The 16,901-nt window shown below is 39.4% G+C and overlaps 1 protein-coding gene and 1 pseudogene across 26 annotated transcripts in view, besides 1 other annotated feature; one reads left to right on the forward strand and one right to left on the reverse strand.

The window, feature by feature from the left end:
- The window catches only part of RABGAP1L (RAB GTPase activating protein 1 like), an 835,789-nt gene that overhangs the window by 756,608 nt on the left and 62,280 nt on the right, over window positions 1-16,901 (forward strand). The window lies entirely within an intron of this gene.
- Window positions 672-751: an enhancer, noted in NCBI's record as "active region_2125". NCBI's record gives its function as "activates an Ori minimal core promoter by ATAC-STARR-seq in GM12878 lymphoblastoid cells {active_cell/tissue: GM12878}" and the evidence as "EXISTENCE:reporter gene assay evidence [ECO:0000049][PMID:35858748]".
- On the reverse strand, window positions 5,974-6,307 carry RPS26P12 (ribosomal protein S26 pseudogene 12; annotated as a pseudogene).

Genomic DNA, 16,901 nt, shown 5'->3' on the forward strand with positions numbered 1-16,901 from the left:
TTTTTGTATAGGGCTATCCAATTATCCCAGCACTATTTGTTGAAAAGATTATTCTTTCCCCTATTGAATTTCCCTGGCAACTTTGTTGAAAGTCAGATGACCATAAGGGTTTATGTCTGAACTCTCAATTCTGTTCTGTTAATCTATATGTCTCTCTTTACCTGGCTAGATTTTTAAGACTTTCACAGTAATGTTTCTGAATTCACCTTCTTGCTTTTACATGCAATCTTGTCAATGATGGGACCTGAAATGACCTCACAACACTTAAATATCGCTGAAAAGAGTGATCCAGAAGCTGAACAAAGTTTTATATTCATAAGCCAGATAAATAAATACAAGATAAGAAGCATGTCAACCCAGAGGGGAAAAGGGCCAAAAGGGAAAATATGATAGTCACAAATATGAAGTTTTTTTGTATTAAAATACAGGTTAACGAAGAGATCTAACCAGATAGTTGCTTAAACAAGAAAGATCTTCATTTTTGTCTTTTAGTGTCAGTTTCAGTATACACAATCCAAATTTGATGTGGTGGCTGCGTTGAAGTCAGGAAATCAGACTCGCTCTACTATCTCAAAGGAGAGCATATCTCGTCCTTTGAAGGAAGTTTCACACATTAATTTTATTCATTCCATTGGTGAAAACTTGTCACTGGCCATACCTAGATGCAAACAGCACTTGGAAGCATAATCTTTAGCTGAAGGCCGTGTGCCCAACTAAGACTTACATTACTAAATAACAAGCAGGTGTCTTAGTCAACTCGGACTGCCATAACCAAACACCGTATACAATATCACTTAAACAATGAATATTTATGTCTGCAGTTTTGGAGGCTGGGAAATACAAGATCAGTGTTCCAGTAGATTTGGTTCCTGGTGAGAACTCTTTTCCTGGCTTGCAGATAGCCACCTTTTTGTTGTATTCTCACATGGCAGAGAGGGAGAGTTTTGGTTTCTCTTCCTCTTCTTGTAAGGACACTAATAATCATGGGGGCTCCACCCTCATGACTTTATCAAAACCTAGTTACCTCTCAAAGGCTGCACCTCCAAATGCCATCACATTGGCTGTTAGGGCTTCAGTATCTCAGTGTGGGAGTGGGTTGGGGAGGACATAAACATTCGGTTCATATCAGGGAAAATGCACACTTAGAGGAAATTGGCAGGTTATGCTTCCAATTACATCAGTATTACAGATTTATAAATATGTGTTGATATTATGTATACATCAGAATATATAATGTATGTATGTGTTGATATTATGTATACATCAGAAGACAAACATTGAGGACTTACATTGGAGACACTGTTATGGCGATTGCAAAGACTGCCTTTAGTGAGATTTCCAGAATTTAACAGCTGGTGGAAGGGGAGGCAGTTATAGTGTTATAACTTTATAAATGTTATTTCTAAACTGAAAATGCCATTTTAATTTTCCAAACACAATCACTGCAGATCTAAGCTGCACTATTTACAGTTTTTGTAGCTACCTTGATATAGTAATTCTTCACTTCAAAAAATATGTATTGAGGCTGGGCGTGGTGGCTCACGCCTGTAACCCCAGCACTTTGGGAGGCTGAGGTGGGTTGATCACCTGAGGTCAGGAGTTCAAGACCAGCCTGGCCAACATGACAAAACCCCATCTCTACTAAAAATACAAAAAGTAGCCAGGCATGCTGGCGATTACCCGTGATCCCAGCTATGCAGGAGGCTGAGGCAGGAGAATTGCTGGAACCTGGGAGGCAGAGTTGCAGTGTGCTGAGATCGTGCCACTAGCACTCCAGCCTGGGTGACAGAGTGAGACTCTGTCTTAAAAAAAAAAAAAAAAAAGCCCAAAAAACATGTATACGTGTATTGAGTGCCTGTCATGTGTCAGGGATACAGGGGTAAGTTGTCTGTAACCAGAAATACAATTATGTTTGGCCTCAAACAGAAAGCAGAGTCTTCTCATCCTGAAATATTGCAGTTTTAATAATAATATAAGAGGCCTTTATAATTTAGAACTATTATGAAGTAATTATGTTTTGGAAAAATCCCAGGACTGGATGCAAAGAGACTTAAGTGTATGTCCCAGTTCTGTCACTCATCGGGCAACTGTGGGCTGACCTGTTTCCTCAGGTTTAAATTGAAGGAGTTTATTATATATTTTAGTTTCTACAGTCTCCTTTGTTTCTATGATTCTGTAGCTCTAATTATCTATAATGTATATATTTATGTGAAATATACTTTATTATCTATAATCTGTACATTTCTATGATTCCATAGCTCCAGTTATCTTTAATCTGTAGTCCTAGAGTATTTATTGCAAACCACCTCAAAACAGTGTCATAAAACAATGGCAGTTATGCTCACAGAATCTGCGGAGCAAGAATTCACACAGGGCCAGGCATGGTGGCTCACGCCTGCAATCCCAGCATTTTGGGTGGCCAAAGTAGGAGAATTGCTTGAGCTCAGGAGTTAGAGATCAGCCTGGGCAACATAGTGAAACCTCGTCTCTAGAAAAAAAGTTTAAAAATTAGCCAGGCATACTGCTGTGCACCTGTAGTCCCAGCTACCTGGGAGGCTGAGGTTGCTTGAGCCCAGGAGGTCATGGCTATAGTGAGCCAAAATTGTGCCACTGCGCTTCATCCTGGGAGACAGAGCAAGATCTTTTTTCAAAAAAGAAGAAAAGAATTCAGAGCCTGGGCAACAAAGTGAGACCCACCCCCCCGATCTCTACACAAAATTCAAAATTAAAATTTAAAAATTTGTCTCGTACAGTGGCATGTGCTTGTAGTCTCGGCTATTCAGGAGGCTTGAGGTGGGAGAATTGCTTAAGCCTAGGAGTTAGAGGCTGCAGTGAGCTCTGATCGTGCCACTGCATCTGCCTAAGCGACAGAGCAAGACCTTGTCTTTTTTCTTTTTTTTTTTTTTTTTGAGACAGAGTCTTGCTCTTTCACCCAGGCTGGGGTGCAATGGCACGATCTCGGCTCACTGCAACCTCCGCCTCCCAGGTTCAAGTGATTCTCCCGCCTCAGCCTTCCGAGTAGCTGGGATTACAGACATGCGCCGCCATGTCCAGCTAATTTTGTATTTTTAGTAGAGACGGGGTTTCTCCATGTTGGTCAGGCTGGTCTCGAACTCCCGACCTCAGGCGATCCGCCCGCCTTGACCTCCCAAAGTGCTGGGATTACAGGCGTGAGCCACTGCGCCTGGCCAATCCGTGGTTCTTTACTCTTGTGTCAGCCACCTGAAGTGGGATGTTTCAAAGACAGGGCTCAGCTGGGACCATTAACTGAAACACCTACTTCGGCTTCTCCGTATGTCTTGAGCTTCTTCACAGCATAGTGCCCTGAATGTCTTACATGGCAGCTCAGGGTTCTCAGAACTGGTGTTCTCCAAGGGAAAGTTTTTGTCTTATAAAATAATTAAAAATATTTTAGTGTAATAAAAAAATTAAGAATTATTTTTAAGCCAGGCATGGTGGCTCACTCCTGTAATCTCAGTACTTTGGGAGGCCAAGGTGGGAGGATTGCTTGAATCCAGGAATTCAAGACCAGCCTGAGAAACAAAGCAACACAGTGTTTCTACAAAAAAAAATTAAAAAATTATCTGGGCACAGTGGTTATGCCTGTAGTCCCAGCTACTTGGGAGGTTGAGGCAGGAGGATCACTTGAGCCCAGGAGTTTCAGGCTGCAGTGAGCTATGATCATGCCACTGCACTCCAGCCTGGACAACATAGACCTTGTCTCAAAACAAAACAAAAAAAGAATTATTCAAACCAAATTGATGAAAAGTGTTAAGTATTAGGTAAGTAGAGTTATAAAAGTTTATTTGGGGTCACCAGGAACTTAAAACTGGCATTTATTGGGTGTATACTATATGCTTGGCATTGGACCATAAGCACTTTTGTGGATTATAATGTGATTTATTCTTCACAACAGCCTTATGCAGAAACCAAGGCTTAGAGAAGTTAAGCATCTTGTCCAGGTCATAATGCTAAGTGGCTGAACTGTGACTCAAAACAGATCTAACTCCAATGTTAGTGGCCTAACTACTGTATTAGTCCATTTTCACATGCTAATAAAGACATACCTGAGACTGGGCAGTTTGCAAAGGCAAGAGGTTTAATGGAGAAGTCACAGTTCTACCTGGCTGGGGAAGCCTCACAATCGTGGCAGAAGGCAAGGAGGAGCAAGTCATGTCTTACATGGATGGCAGCAGGCAAAGAGAGAGCTGGTGCAGGGAAACTCCCATTTTTAAAACCATTAGAACTTGTAAGACTCATTCACTATCAGGAGAACAGTGCAGGAAAGATTCACCTCCATAATTCAGTCACCTCTGACCAGGTTCCTCTCACAACACATGGGAATTACAATTCAAGTGGGAGTTACAACTGAAGATGAGACTTGGATGGGGATGCAGCCAAACCATATCAACTACTGTTACGAGTTGAATTGTCTTTACCGCATCCCTAATTCATATGTTGAATATGACTATATTTGGAGTATAGTCAGCATCTCAGAATATGACTATATTTAGAGGTAGGGTCTTTAAAGTGGTAATTAAGGTAAAAGGAGGTCATTGGGGAAGGTTCTAATCCAATATGATTAGTGTCCTTGTAAGAAGAGGAAATTTGGACACAGACACACACAAAGGAAAGATCATGTGAGGATACAGGGAGAAGATGGCCATCTACAAGCCACGAATTGAGCCCTCAGAAGATACAACCATTGCCAACAACCTTTATCTTGGATTTCTAGCCTCCAAAACTGTTAGGAAAGAAATTTCTATTGGTTAAGCCCTTCAGTCTGTGGTACTTTGTTTTTTTGTTGTTGTTTGAGACGGAGTCTTGCTCTGTCGCCCAGGCTGGAGTACAGTGGAGCGATCTTGGCTCACTGCAGCCTCCGCCTCCCGGGTTCAAGCAATTCTCCTGCCTCAGCTTCCTAAGTGGCTGGGATTACAGGCACATGCCACCATGCCCAGCTAATTTTTGTATTTTTTTAGTAGAAACGGGGTTTTACCATGTTGGCCAGGCTGGTCTCAAACTCCTGACCTTGTGATCCACCTGCCGCGGCCTCCCAGTGTGCTGGGATTACAGGCATGAGCCACTGCGCCCGGCCCAGTCTGTGGTACTTTGTTATGGCAGCCCTAGCGAACTAATAACGTCACTAATAGCACATTACTAATGTGCATACCTGGGTTTTGTTTTGTTTTTTTAAACCTGTTTTAATCAGCCTACTTTAGTGCTGTCCTTCCCATTGCCCTCTCTCTTACAAAGATATTGTGGACAGATACATTTGTTTTTTATAGACCTACAAACTTTCTTACCATTATCACATGCTGAGACATATAATAAAGGTGTACAATTCTTCAAGGTAAAAATACCTCCACATGGGCATACTCTTTCCTATAGGATAAAATTAGAGTTCTTCCCTCTTTTGAGATGTGAGCATCAATTAATAGCCCCTAAGGAGTTTATTTTCTGCAAAGATCAAGATTAATTACAATTGTTTCAAAGTAATCCGGAAATCAATGTGGAAATCTCTGGTTTTATAAAGCTAGTTATCAGCTGCTAACGAACTGTCTAAATATGCCAAAAATTGAACTTTATCATGTAGCATTTACCTTCTGAACCATGTATTTATTTATTATGGTCTGTCATGTTTGAATTTTTTGTCTTGTGTTATATATATAAATCTTGCCTCCCTAATAATGAGCTTCCTAAAGATGCACATTTTTGAATCCTCTTTAGTTAGTAAAATGTAATGAATGCATTTGTAGGTGAGCACTAAATGCTATTAAACTGAATTGTAATTTTCAGATTTAGGTATTTTGTGTACAGTTTCCCTCTAAACTCCACTTTTGAAACACTATTGAAATCAATATGGGGGATGCTGTTTTGATACATTCACTCTGCCCTTCAATTTTTTTAAGTATAATTTCCATTTTATTTTTCTCCAGAAGATAGCTTTTCTTCAGTCCTTAAAAACTCAGCTTCTTACACAGGCTTGGTAGTGGTTGTAGGGCAGCACCCGGAGGCCTAAAAATGGGTGTTTAGTCATTCCCAGCTTCATAAGAACAATTCCTGTCTACCTTGCTATGGGTGGCACCACTCACACAGTAACGCAGTTTTACATACATCTTGGGAAGCGCATAGACATCAAAGACACTCCAGAAATAATCCCTGACAGCTGTAGCCTCTACTATGTTTCAAATGATGAACTTCTTAAAATGGCCTTGTCCTTGGGCACGCATCAGGCGCAGTTTATGCAGCAAATAGACAGCATGTGGCTGCAGCTCTTTTTGGCATGACCATTGTTCCTTCTTTATTTGTCATCTTGGAAGCAAGGACTGAAGAGCTGCCTTTCAATTTTTAAAACCACAGTCTTCTTTCCTGACATGTTCCTTAGACAGTGGCTCTCTCTCGCAGCACTGTTTTCTCACCCTGGGGCTTAAGAACATAACCTATCAATGTATTGGAAGAGAAATGTTTCTGAATAAGGACCAGGCCTTTGATCATTTTGTGAGATATTCATGGTCTCCTCTATCTGAAAGAGCAATGATAACATTATTTCCAAAACTGGAACTCATGCATATTCACATCTCAAGTATACTAAAACTTTTCATTTTCTGGTGAAGAAATTCAATGTAGTGGTTAAAAGTGTGGGCTCTGTCTTAGTTCAAATCCCTTCTGTGCCAACTACCAGCTGTGTGATTTTAGGCAAATCAACTTAATCTTGTTGAACCTTGATTTCCTGTTCTATAAAATGTAGCCAATTATAGAGGATAGGCCAGGCACAGTGGCTCATGCCTAGAATCCCAGCACTTTGGGAGGCCCAGGTAGAAGGATCACTTGAGCCCAGGAATTTGAGACCAGCCCGGGCAACAGAGGGAGACCTTGTCTCTACAGAAATATCAAACAGCCAAGTATGGTGGCACATGCCTGTGGTCCCAGCTACTTGGGGGGTCAAGGAGATTGAGGCTGCAGAACTACGGACACATCACTGTACTCCAGATTGTGTGACAGAACAAGACCCTATCTCAGAAAAAAAAAAAAAAGTAGAGCATATCTATAGAGTTGTAGAAATAAATAAGGTAAGGTGTGTTATATGCTTATAATAGCACATGGGACATAGGAAATCTTCAGTAAATGTTAGTCATTATTATCATTACCATTATTTATTGGCTATCCAGATATTGGAGAAAACTGAAATCGACCTTAAGACTGATTTGTGTAAAGCACAGTAAGTATTCAGTGAATGTTTATTGGGTAATAAAGACATGTCAAGTGTATATGGAGGCTTTATTGAATAGATTACCATTTTTCAAAAACAATGAAAGGTTTTAAACAGTTTATTTCAGCACCTCCTCAATGAACTGGAGCTCAAAGCCTTACCCTAGTGCCCTGTCTGGATGAGTGACACATAGCCAAATTATATAATAATGTTAATTATTTGAGGATATTGTATATAAACAAACATTTAGAAGTCAGTTTGCTGACCAAGTACGGAGGCTTATGCCTGTAATCCCAGCACTTTGGGAGCCCAGGCGGGTGGATCACTTGAGGTCAGGAGTTTGAGACAGCCTGGCCAACATGTTGAAACCCCATCTCTACTAAAAATACAAAAATTAGCTGAGTGTGGTGGCACGTGCCTGTAATCCCAGCTACTTGGGAGGCTGAGGCAGGAGAATCGCGTCAACCTGGGAGGTGGAGGTTGCAGTGAGCTGAGATTGTGCCACTGCATTCCAGCCTGGGCGACTGAGCGAGACTGTCTCAAAAAAAAAAAAAAAAAGAAAAAAGAAAAAGTCGGTTTGTTTAATTGTAGCTTTTGTCACCTCTAAGATTTAATCAGGAAAGTATTTAGTCAAAACTTACACTGCTGAGTAGTTTCATTAGGAGATGCAAATATGACTAAGCTATTACACCTGGTTCAGGGCTTGTAAGCATTCACTTTCAAACTACTGGACAGTCTAGAAAGCTTCATAAGAAAGATACAAAGTACTGACTGGGCACAGTGGCTCACACCTGTAATCCCAGCACTTTGGGAGGGCAAGGTGTGTGGATCACGAGGTCGAGAGATTGAGACTATCCTGGCCAACATGGTGAAACCACATCTTTACTAAAAATACAAAAATCAGCCGGGCATGATAGTGTATGCCTGTAGTCCCAGCTACTTGGGAGGCTGAGGCAGGAGAATCTCTTGAACCCGGGAGGCAGAGGTTGAAGTGAGCCGAGATTGCGCCACTGCACTCCAATGTGGTGACAGAGCAAGACTCTGTCTCAAAAAAAAAAAAAAAAAAAAAGAGAGAGATACAAAGTACTACTGAAATCTAGAAAAGGGGAAAGAGCATCTCTTACTGCAGAATCAGAAGGGAGGACTTCATGAAATAAATGGCATTTATGGAGAACTCTAAAGGATGACTTTGCTTCCTACTTCGCAGAGCATTTAGGGTAATTGGATTCTGCTCAGATGTATTACTTTTCCCCAGGCCCAGAAAAGATTTTGTCCCCCTGCTATTCAACATTAATCTATTCAACCTTGCTTTAGATCTGGTCCTTCCCATCTTCCTCAGAGCCTTGCATGGAAGGATAATCTCAACGGGCACGATGGTGGCAACTTATGATGACCTTCCTTAAGCCTGGAACATGTTAACTCTCGAATTAAGAAAAATCAGTCACTATTACAGACCCCGAGAATTCCCTACTTAGTAGAGCTTAAGTTTAAGTAGAGACAGGCAATAAACACAATACCTAAGTAAAAATCCATAGTACTGTATATTAGAAGATAACTAATGTGGAAAAAATAGGACAAGGTCAGGAAGATCAGTAGTGCTGGAAGAGTGCAGTGTTAAATAGGGTAGTAAGGGTAGATTTCACTGAAAAGGTACATTTGCGCAAGGACTTGACTGAAGCAAGGGAGTGATCCATCCACATGGCTAGATAGAGGGAAGAATTTTCAAAAGAGAAAAGACAGCGGGTGGGCCGGGCCTGGTGGCTCATGCCTGTAATCCCAGCACTTTGGGAGGCTGAGGCGGGCGTATCACAAGGTCAGTAGATTGAGACCATCCTGGCTAACACGGTGAAACCCCGTCTCTACTAAAAATACAAAAAATTAGCCGGGCGTGGTGGCGGGCGCCTGGAGGTTGAGGCAGGAGAATGGCGTGAACCCAGGAGGCGGAGCTTGCAGTGAGCCGAGATCACGCCACTGCACTCCAGCCTGGGAGACAGAGCGAGACTCGAGACTCCGTCTCAAAAAAAAAAAAAAAAAAAAAAAAACAGCAAAAAACAACAACAAAAAAAACAGCTGGTGAAAAAACCTTGGCAGGAGCATGTCTGGTGTACCGGAGGAACCACAAGGAGGCTAGAGCATGATGAGATAAGAGGAGAGTGGAGGAGACCAGACGTAGAATAGCCGGGGAGAAAGCGAGCCAGGTAGGGGAGGGCTTTGTAGGCCATGGCAAGGCATTTGGTCTGTAATTCTTTTATGATTTGTGCTTTTGGTCTTGATTTCTTCCTTATGAATCATAGATGATGAGGACTTAGAGGAGGAAAAGAAGAATTGTTAATTATCCTCTTTTTAAAAACGGAATTTATAGATTTTCATAAAGATGAAAATGTTCTATATGTAAATTTTTTTGAATATTTGTTTTTCTTTTTTCAGTTTTTAGTTTTTTGTGCAATTAAAAAAATATAATGTGAGATAGAGAACCTGATTTTTCTCATTTTGTTATTTTGGTTTTTTGGGTTTGTTGTTGGTTTTTTTTTTGTTTTTGTTTTTTTTTTGTGTTTTTTTTTTTTTTTTTGATACCAGGCTGCAGTGGTGTGATCTTGGCTGACTGCAACCTCTCCTCCCAGGTTCAAGTGATTCTCATGCCTCAGCCTCCCAAGTAGCTGGGTCTACAGGTGTGCGCCACCATACCCTGCCTATTTTTCTCATTTTGATCGCCAGTTGTCTGACCAACATTTATTAAATAACTTATCTTTTCCCCACCTATTTGTAATAATACTGCCTTAATTTTGTGTCTGGGCTCTTTAATACTGATTTGTTGATCTGTTCCTGAGCTAGTATGTCACAGTTTCAATTAGTAAAACTTATTATAAATCTTTGATGTCTAGTAGAGCAAATGCCTTTTCCTTTATTATTGTTTCACTATTCTTGGTCCTTTTCTCTTCAGTAAGAATTTTTTGATCACTTTGTCAAGGCTCATATTTTAAAAATCCTTTGAGATATTGAATAGAAGTGTGTTACATTTATGAATTGATTATGGAAGAATTGATATCTTCATATAGTTCAGTCTCCCCATCCGTTTTATTTAAACCCTCTTTTATGTTAACAAAAGTTTTTAGAAAATTCTGCATAGAGGTTTTATCATTAGATTTATTTCCAAAGACCTTAAGTTTTTGTAGTAAGAATGAATGGGCTCTGTTTTTATTACATTTTAAATTGGTTGTTGCTAGTGTATAGACATACTATTAACTTTGTAAATTAATCTCGTATGTAACAAACTTGTTAATGTCTTTCTAAGTGGTTTTATTGTTTTATCAATATGTTGTTTTAGATTTTTCTAATTAAATGACTACAATCGTCTGTAAAAAATGAAGATTTTTGCCTTTTCTAATTTTTAACTTTATATTTATTACATCATCTTACGGCATCAACAGTAACTTCTCTGTTAAAAGGGCCATGACAGCTGGACATGGTGGCTCACACCTGTAATCCCAGCACTTTGGGAGGCCTAGGCAGGTGGATCACAAGGTCAGGAGTTTGAGACCAGCCTGGCCAATATGGTGAAACCCTGTCTCTACTAAAAATACAAAAATTAGCCAGGCGTGGTGGCACACACCTGTAATTCCAGTTACTCCAGAGGCTGAGGCAGAAGAATTGCTTGAACCCAGGAGGCAGAGGTTGCAGTGAGCTGAGATTGCACCACTGCACTCCAGCCTGGGTGACAGAATAAGACTCCGTCTCAAAAAAAAAAAAAAGTGGGGGGGCCATGACAATAAGCATCCTTATGTTGTTCCTGATTTTAAAGGGAACATTTTTAAGATTTCACTGTTAAAGATTTTGTGTGCTTTAGGTTCAGATTGATCATTTATGTTGGGTTAATAGTTAATAGTCTATTCTATTCTGTTCAAATTCTAATTTGCCAAGATTTTTAATTATTAAAACTGCAATTACTTTTGCACCAACCTAGTATTAATAGGTATTTAATTTTATTAAGTGTTGTTTGTATATCTGTTGATGAATTTGTGATTTTTATCCTGTAATATGTGAATTATAGTAATATTTCTTCTTCTTTTTTTAAATTAGAGATAGGGTCTCGCTGCATTGCCCAGGCTGGTCTCGAACTCCTGAGCTCATGCAGTCCTCCTGCCTTGGTCTCCCAAAGTGCTGTGATTACAGGAATGAGACAACACACCAAGCCATATTTCCTCTCTTTTTAAAGACGTTTTAGAGACATGGTTTTGCTATGTTGATCAGACTGGAGTGCAATGGCTAGTCACAGGTGTGATCATAGTGCACTATAGCACTGAAATCCTAGGTTCAAGCGATTTTCCTGCCTTGGCATCCCGAGTAGCTAGGACTATAGGTGCACACCACCACAGCTGGATGATGTTTCTTCTTTTAAAATAATATTTTAAATAGTAAAAATGAAGCTGTTAAAAAATCTGAAATGTAAATTTGAACCCCTCTAAAGCTACTCTTTCATTTCACTTCCCTGTTTCAAAGAACAGTACCATTCAGCCTAAAATCTTAGGAGCTAATCTAGGCATTGCTCACAGCTGCTTGGTGACCAGATCCTGTCATTTTCAATATTGTCGTTGCCTCTCTATTCTTTCTTTGTTGCCTAATTATTCTCCATGTACCTGCAAGAGCAGAAAATTCCTTTGATTAAAATCTTTCAGTGATTCCCTAATCTGTAGCCTTCACAAATTTGAACTCCTTACTGTGCCCTATAAGGCCCTTCAAGATCTGGCCCTTCCTTCTCCAGCCTTGCAGGCCCTTCTTGTTGCACTCTACTTCCCACTGATTCGCCAGCAAATCAGTCATTCCTTGGGGCCTTTATTTAGCATTCCTCTCTTTGTCTAGCTGTCTAGCAGTTACTCATTTTTCCAGGCCCAGCCAAGCCTTATCTACCTCCATAATATATGTCCTAACTTCCAGATAGAGTAGACCGTTGAATCTTTGTACATCCTCCTATGCCATACAAACCTTAATCTTTTGAAATTGTGTATGGTCTTTATTCATTTATGTATTTATTTCATCTACTAGACTTGTATCTAGTATCTTGAAGTTTGTGACTATTTTATTCACCATTGTATTCCTAACACAGTGAAGGTATTCAGTTCACGTATAATGATGAATAAACAAAAGAACAAGCAGACAGGCAATGATTGAGATAAAAGAGAAAGGGATTATTCCAAAAGGAAAATAATGAAAGCAAAAGCCTTGTTAACTGTTAATTTCATTATCTACATTGAGTCCTGGGTGGAGCCTTAGGGAACTCGGGAAATGATTCTAATGATTGTCTACTGATTGAGGGAAAAGATTCCCTGACCTGCAATCTTTTGCAAATTTGTTGCCTTTTTTTCTCTCTTTATGAAGAAGCTTTTTCTATTTTCCTCTCTTTGGGGATTTTCTTTCTTTTGAATTCATTTAGTCAGTTAATATTTATTGATTACTTGCTATATACCAGGCTCAGTGCTAGTGCTGGGAACTAGTTAGATAGAGCCTGTCTCTACCCTGGAGTATCTCTCTGGCTGGCTGGGGTACAAACATGTAAACAAACAAATATAGCAGTGATTTTCAAATATCTTTCCTAATTGTCTTGTCATGTTTTTCCACCATGAAACCCACCTTGTAAAGAAGATTGGCTGTTATGTTCTCACTCATAGGTGGGAATTGAACAATGATAACACTTGGACACAGGAAGGGGAACATCACACACTGGGGCCTGTCGTGGGGTGGGGCTGGGGGGAGGGATAGCATTAGGAGATATACCTAATGTAAATGACGAGTTAATGGGTGCAGCACACCAACATGGCAAATGTATACATATGTAACAAACCTGAACACTGTGCACATGTACCCTAGAACTTAAAATACAATAATAATAAAAAAGAAGATTGGCTGTTTATTGGGGTTTTAACAGTTGTATTTGGCAAACAAAAGAATAACTGGAAGTAACTGAGAATAGGATGCTGGAAGGAAATTGTCTGAGATGCCACTCTCCTGGTTTATTTACTACTGTCTTCCTCACTTTCAACTGTCAGCATTGAAGGATTGTATTCCTCAGTTAGGTAAAAAATATGACCAATTTATCTGCTTTAATTAGTTAGAAATTAGAAATTTAGGGGCCAGACACAGTGGCTCATGCCTGTAATCCCAGCACTTTGGGAGGCCAAGCTGGGAGGATCACTTGAGGCCAGAGTTTGAGACCAGCCTGGGCAACATAACGAGATCCTATCTCCAGAAGCAAATTTTAAAAATCAGCCAGGTGTAGTGGCATGCGCCTGTAGTCCCAACTACGAGGCAGCTGAGGCAGGATTATGGCTTGAGCCCAAGAGGTCGAGGCTACAGTGAGCTATGATCATATCACTGCGCTATATTCCAGCCTGGGTGACAGAGGGAGACACTGTCTCTACAAAAAATAAATAAATAAATAAATAAATAAATAAATAAATAAATAAATAAGAAATTTAGGAAGTATATTCATCTCTACTGATTTTAAAGCAAAATTTAATTTTTTTTTTTTTTTTTTTTGAGATAGGGTCTTGCTCTGTCTCCCAGGCTGGAGTGCAGTGATGCAATCTCAGCTCACTGCAGCCTCAGCCTCCTGGGCTCAAGTGATCCTCCCACCTCAGCCTCCTGAGTACCTGGGACTACAGACAAGTGCCACCATGCCAGATTTTTTTTTTTTTTTTGTAAAGACAGAGTTTTGCCATGTTGCTCTGGCTGGTCTCAAACTCCTGGGCTCATGCAATCCACTCACCTTGTGCTCCCAAAGTGTTGGGATTACAGGTGTGAACTACCATGGCTGGCTGCTAAAAGTAATTTCTTTAACTCCTTTAAAAATTTTTATTTTATGTATTTACTTATGAGATGGGGACTCAGTTTGTTGACCAGACTGGCCTTGAACTCCTGGCCTCTAGCAATCCTCCTGCCTCAGCCTCTCAAGTAGCTGGGATTACAAGTGTATATACCACCACACCTAGATCAAACTTCTTTTTTTTTTTTTTGAGACAGGATCTTGCTGTGTTACCCAGGCTGGAGTACAGTGTCAGATGGCAGGATCTTGGCTTCCTGGGCTCAAGCAGTCCTCCTACCTCAGTCTCTCTGGTAGCTGTGCCTGCAGTCACATGCCACCATGCCTGGCTAATTTTTTATTTTTTGTAGAGATAGGGTTTCACTGTGTTCTCCAGGCTGGTATTAAACTCCTGGACTCCAGCAATCCTCCCACCTTGGCCTTCCAAAGTGCTGGGATTATAGGCATGAGCCACTGCGCCCAGCATACGAACCCATTTTTAAGTTGTCAAACATACACAAAAGTAGAGAGAAGAGCACCGTGAACATCCACGTAGTCATCACCCAGCTTCAGTAACCTTCAGCCTCATGCTTTTCTTGTTTTATATCTCCCCCATCTTTTTTTGCAAGAGTATTAGGTAAAAATTTCAGACATATCATTTTACTCATAAATATTTAAGTATATATCTTAACACATAAGGACTTTAAAATCATAACCATAATATTGATATCAGACCCACTGAAATTAATATTCTAATAGTGGGTGCATTTTTAAAATTCAAATGAATATGAAACAACCAGAGTCCAAGTAAAGGAACTTATACCATGTTCTAATTTACCAAGTAGGGGATAGTTTGGCTTTTAACCCCAAATGTAGTGGGATTTTTTTTTGTTATTTTAGCCAGAAACATTTAAAAATCATCCCATCATTGTCCCCTCTTTTAAAACAGAGTAACAAAGTAAGCAGAGTGAATGCTCTTAATTTATAATTTTATTTTCAGGGTATTTTACAATATACTGTGGGTGATGGGAATGAATATGTGTCCAGCAAAACTTGATATTTTCTTATATGATGAATATTTCCCATTTTATTTAAAAGGCAAAGCTGATGGGATATTCTTTGCATTATATTCTGAAAATAAAAATCAGAATCCCTGCTGCTAATGGTGAGACTGATATTCTAATACCCTAGTTCTAAGCCTAGCTTTGAATGCTTTGAATAAGGGAAGTCATTCCTTATGACTTCCAATAGATAATGCTTTGTTTCACTGATCCTCTTTCAGGGATTTTCTTTGTGAGGCTTTTCAAGCTAAATAGAAGCCAGTACTTCTGAGCCAAATTAAACCTTGCTTCAGCCCTGGAAAGACTTGCATGTTTTTTTAAAAAGAGACTAGGGAAGAAACAGTTATTGTCATATGTTTTACTAGGCTATATTAGTCATCTCAGCCACGTAGTTCTATTTTGCTCTTTGCCTAAAGGTATTAAAAATTTTAATTAATTTGTAAGCTGTAGCCATCTCAAGTTCAGTTATAAAATAAACTGATGGTACTTTAGATGTGCATTTACCACTTGCCATCGGTCTTCTGTGCACTAAAGAAAGCAAAAGATGACTTATATTTTATACCAGAGGTCTTTGTTAATATTTCACCTAAAAAAATTAAATATATTGCCTTTTATTACTTCCTGTTTGAACCTACAATCAAGTGGAGAAATACCATGTGAAAGATTGTACATGTTGGCTTCTCTGGTAGAAGACATTGTTTGCCTTCCATTTTGTACCTAGGGGTAGATTTTTGAGGCTTGCCTGCTTACCATTAAAATAAGATTTAAATTATAAAATTTCTTTAGACTGCTTTTTTGGTTTTTTTTTTTTTTTTTTTTTTTTGCCTGTCCAGTGAAGTTTTGAGCTATACTTGCTCAAAACACTGACTATACCTTGAGCTCTGAATGATAGATAAGCAGTTAGATAGTAAACAGAGTAGAATTGGTAAATTAGAAAGGACCCAGAGGAATCATCTGGTACTTTTCCTTCATATAGGATGAAGGAAACCGCTCCAGGAAGTGATCCTTTTCTCTAAGGTTTTCAAAGAGGGATGTTTATTCATTTATTTAATACTTCTTTGTTTTTTTTTTTTTAAAAGAAGAATGCTGAGCCTGATGCTGTGTTTAACTCTCTCCTTAGTCACCCTCAGCCTGGAATAGTTTCTCAGTCTTTGACTTTTATAATGTTGATACTTTTGAAGATGACAAGCTAGTTATTTAGTAGAATGTTTCTCCATTTGAGTTTGTCTGGTGGTTCCTTAAGATTAGATTTAGGATATGTATCATGAGCAAGAATATTATAGAAGTGATGCTGTTTTTCTCATCCCATTCATTCTATCAGATGGAGTATGATTTTAATTTGTCTCATTGGCTGGTGATGCTTACTCTGATCATTTGACCAAGGTGATTTCTGCAAGGTTCTTTATGTAAAGTTGCTCTATTCCCCTTCCTGACAAATAAGAATTTTGTGGCGAAGTACTTTGAAATTATATAAATATCCAATTCCTAATAAAACTTTCAATTTATTTCATTTATATATAGAATCATGATTTCCTGTTTATTCAGTATTATATCTTATTCTACCATTATTTATTTTAATGCTGAAATTATCCCCTACTTGGCCACTGGGAGCTCCTTCAGGATGGCTTTTGTGTCCTTTTGACATGTTTCCATTATTCTTCAAGCGTAACTTGCTTTTGGAAAAGCAAGATATTCCAGGCTCTTTTTGTACTTTGCTGGCACTAGCCCTAGAATCAGGTATTTCTCCAAGTAGCCCTGGTTCTTTTTGGTAGACACTGATATATAGCAACCAAGATCTGTGCAGTAGATTTGCTCATTGTTTCTGGATATGTATTGT

The sequence above is a fragment of the Homo sapiens genome, chromosome 1, assembly GCF_000001405.40.
Source record: "Homo sapiens chromosome 1, GRCh38.p14 Primary Assembly".
Classification (NCBI taxonomy): Eukaryota; Metazoa; Chordata; class Mammalia; order Primates; family Hominidae; genus Homo; species Homo sapiens.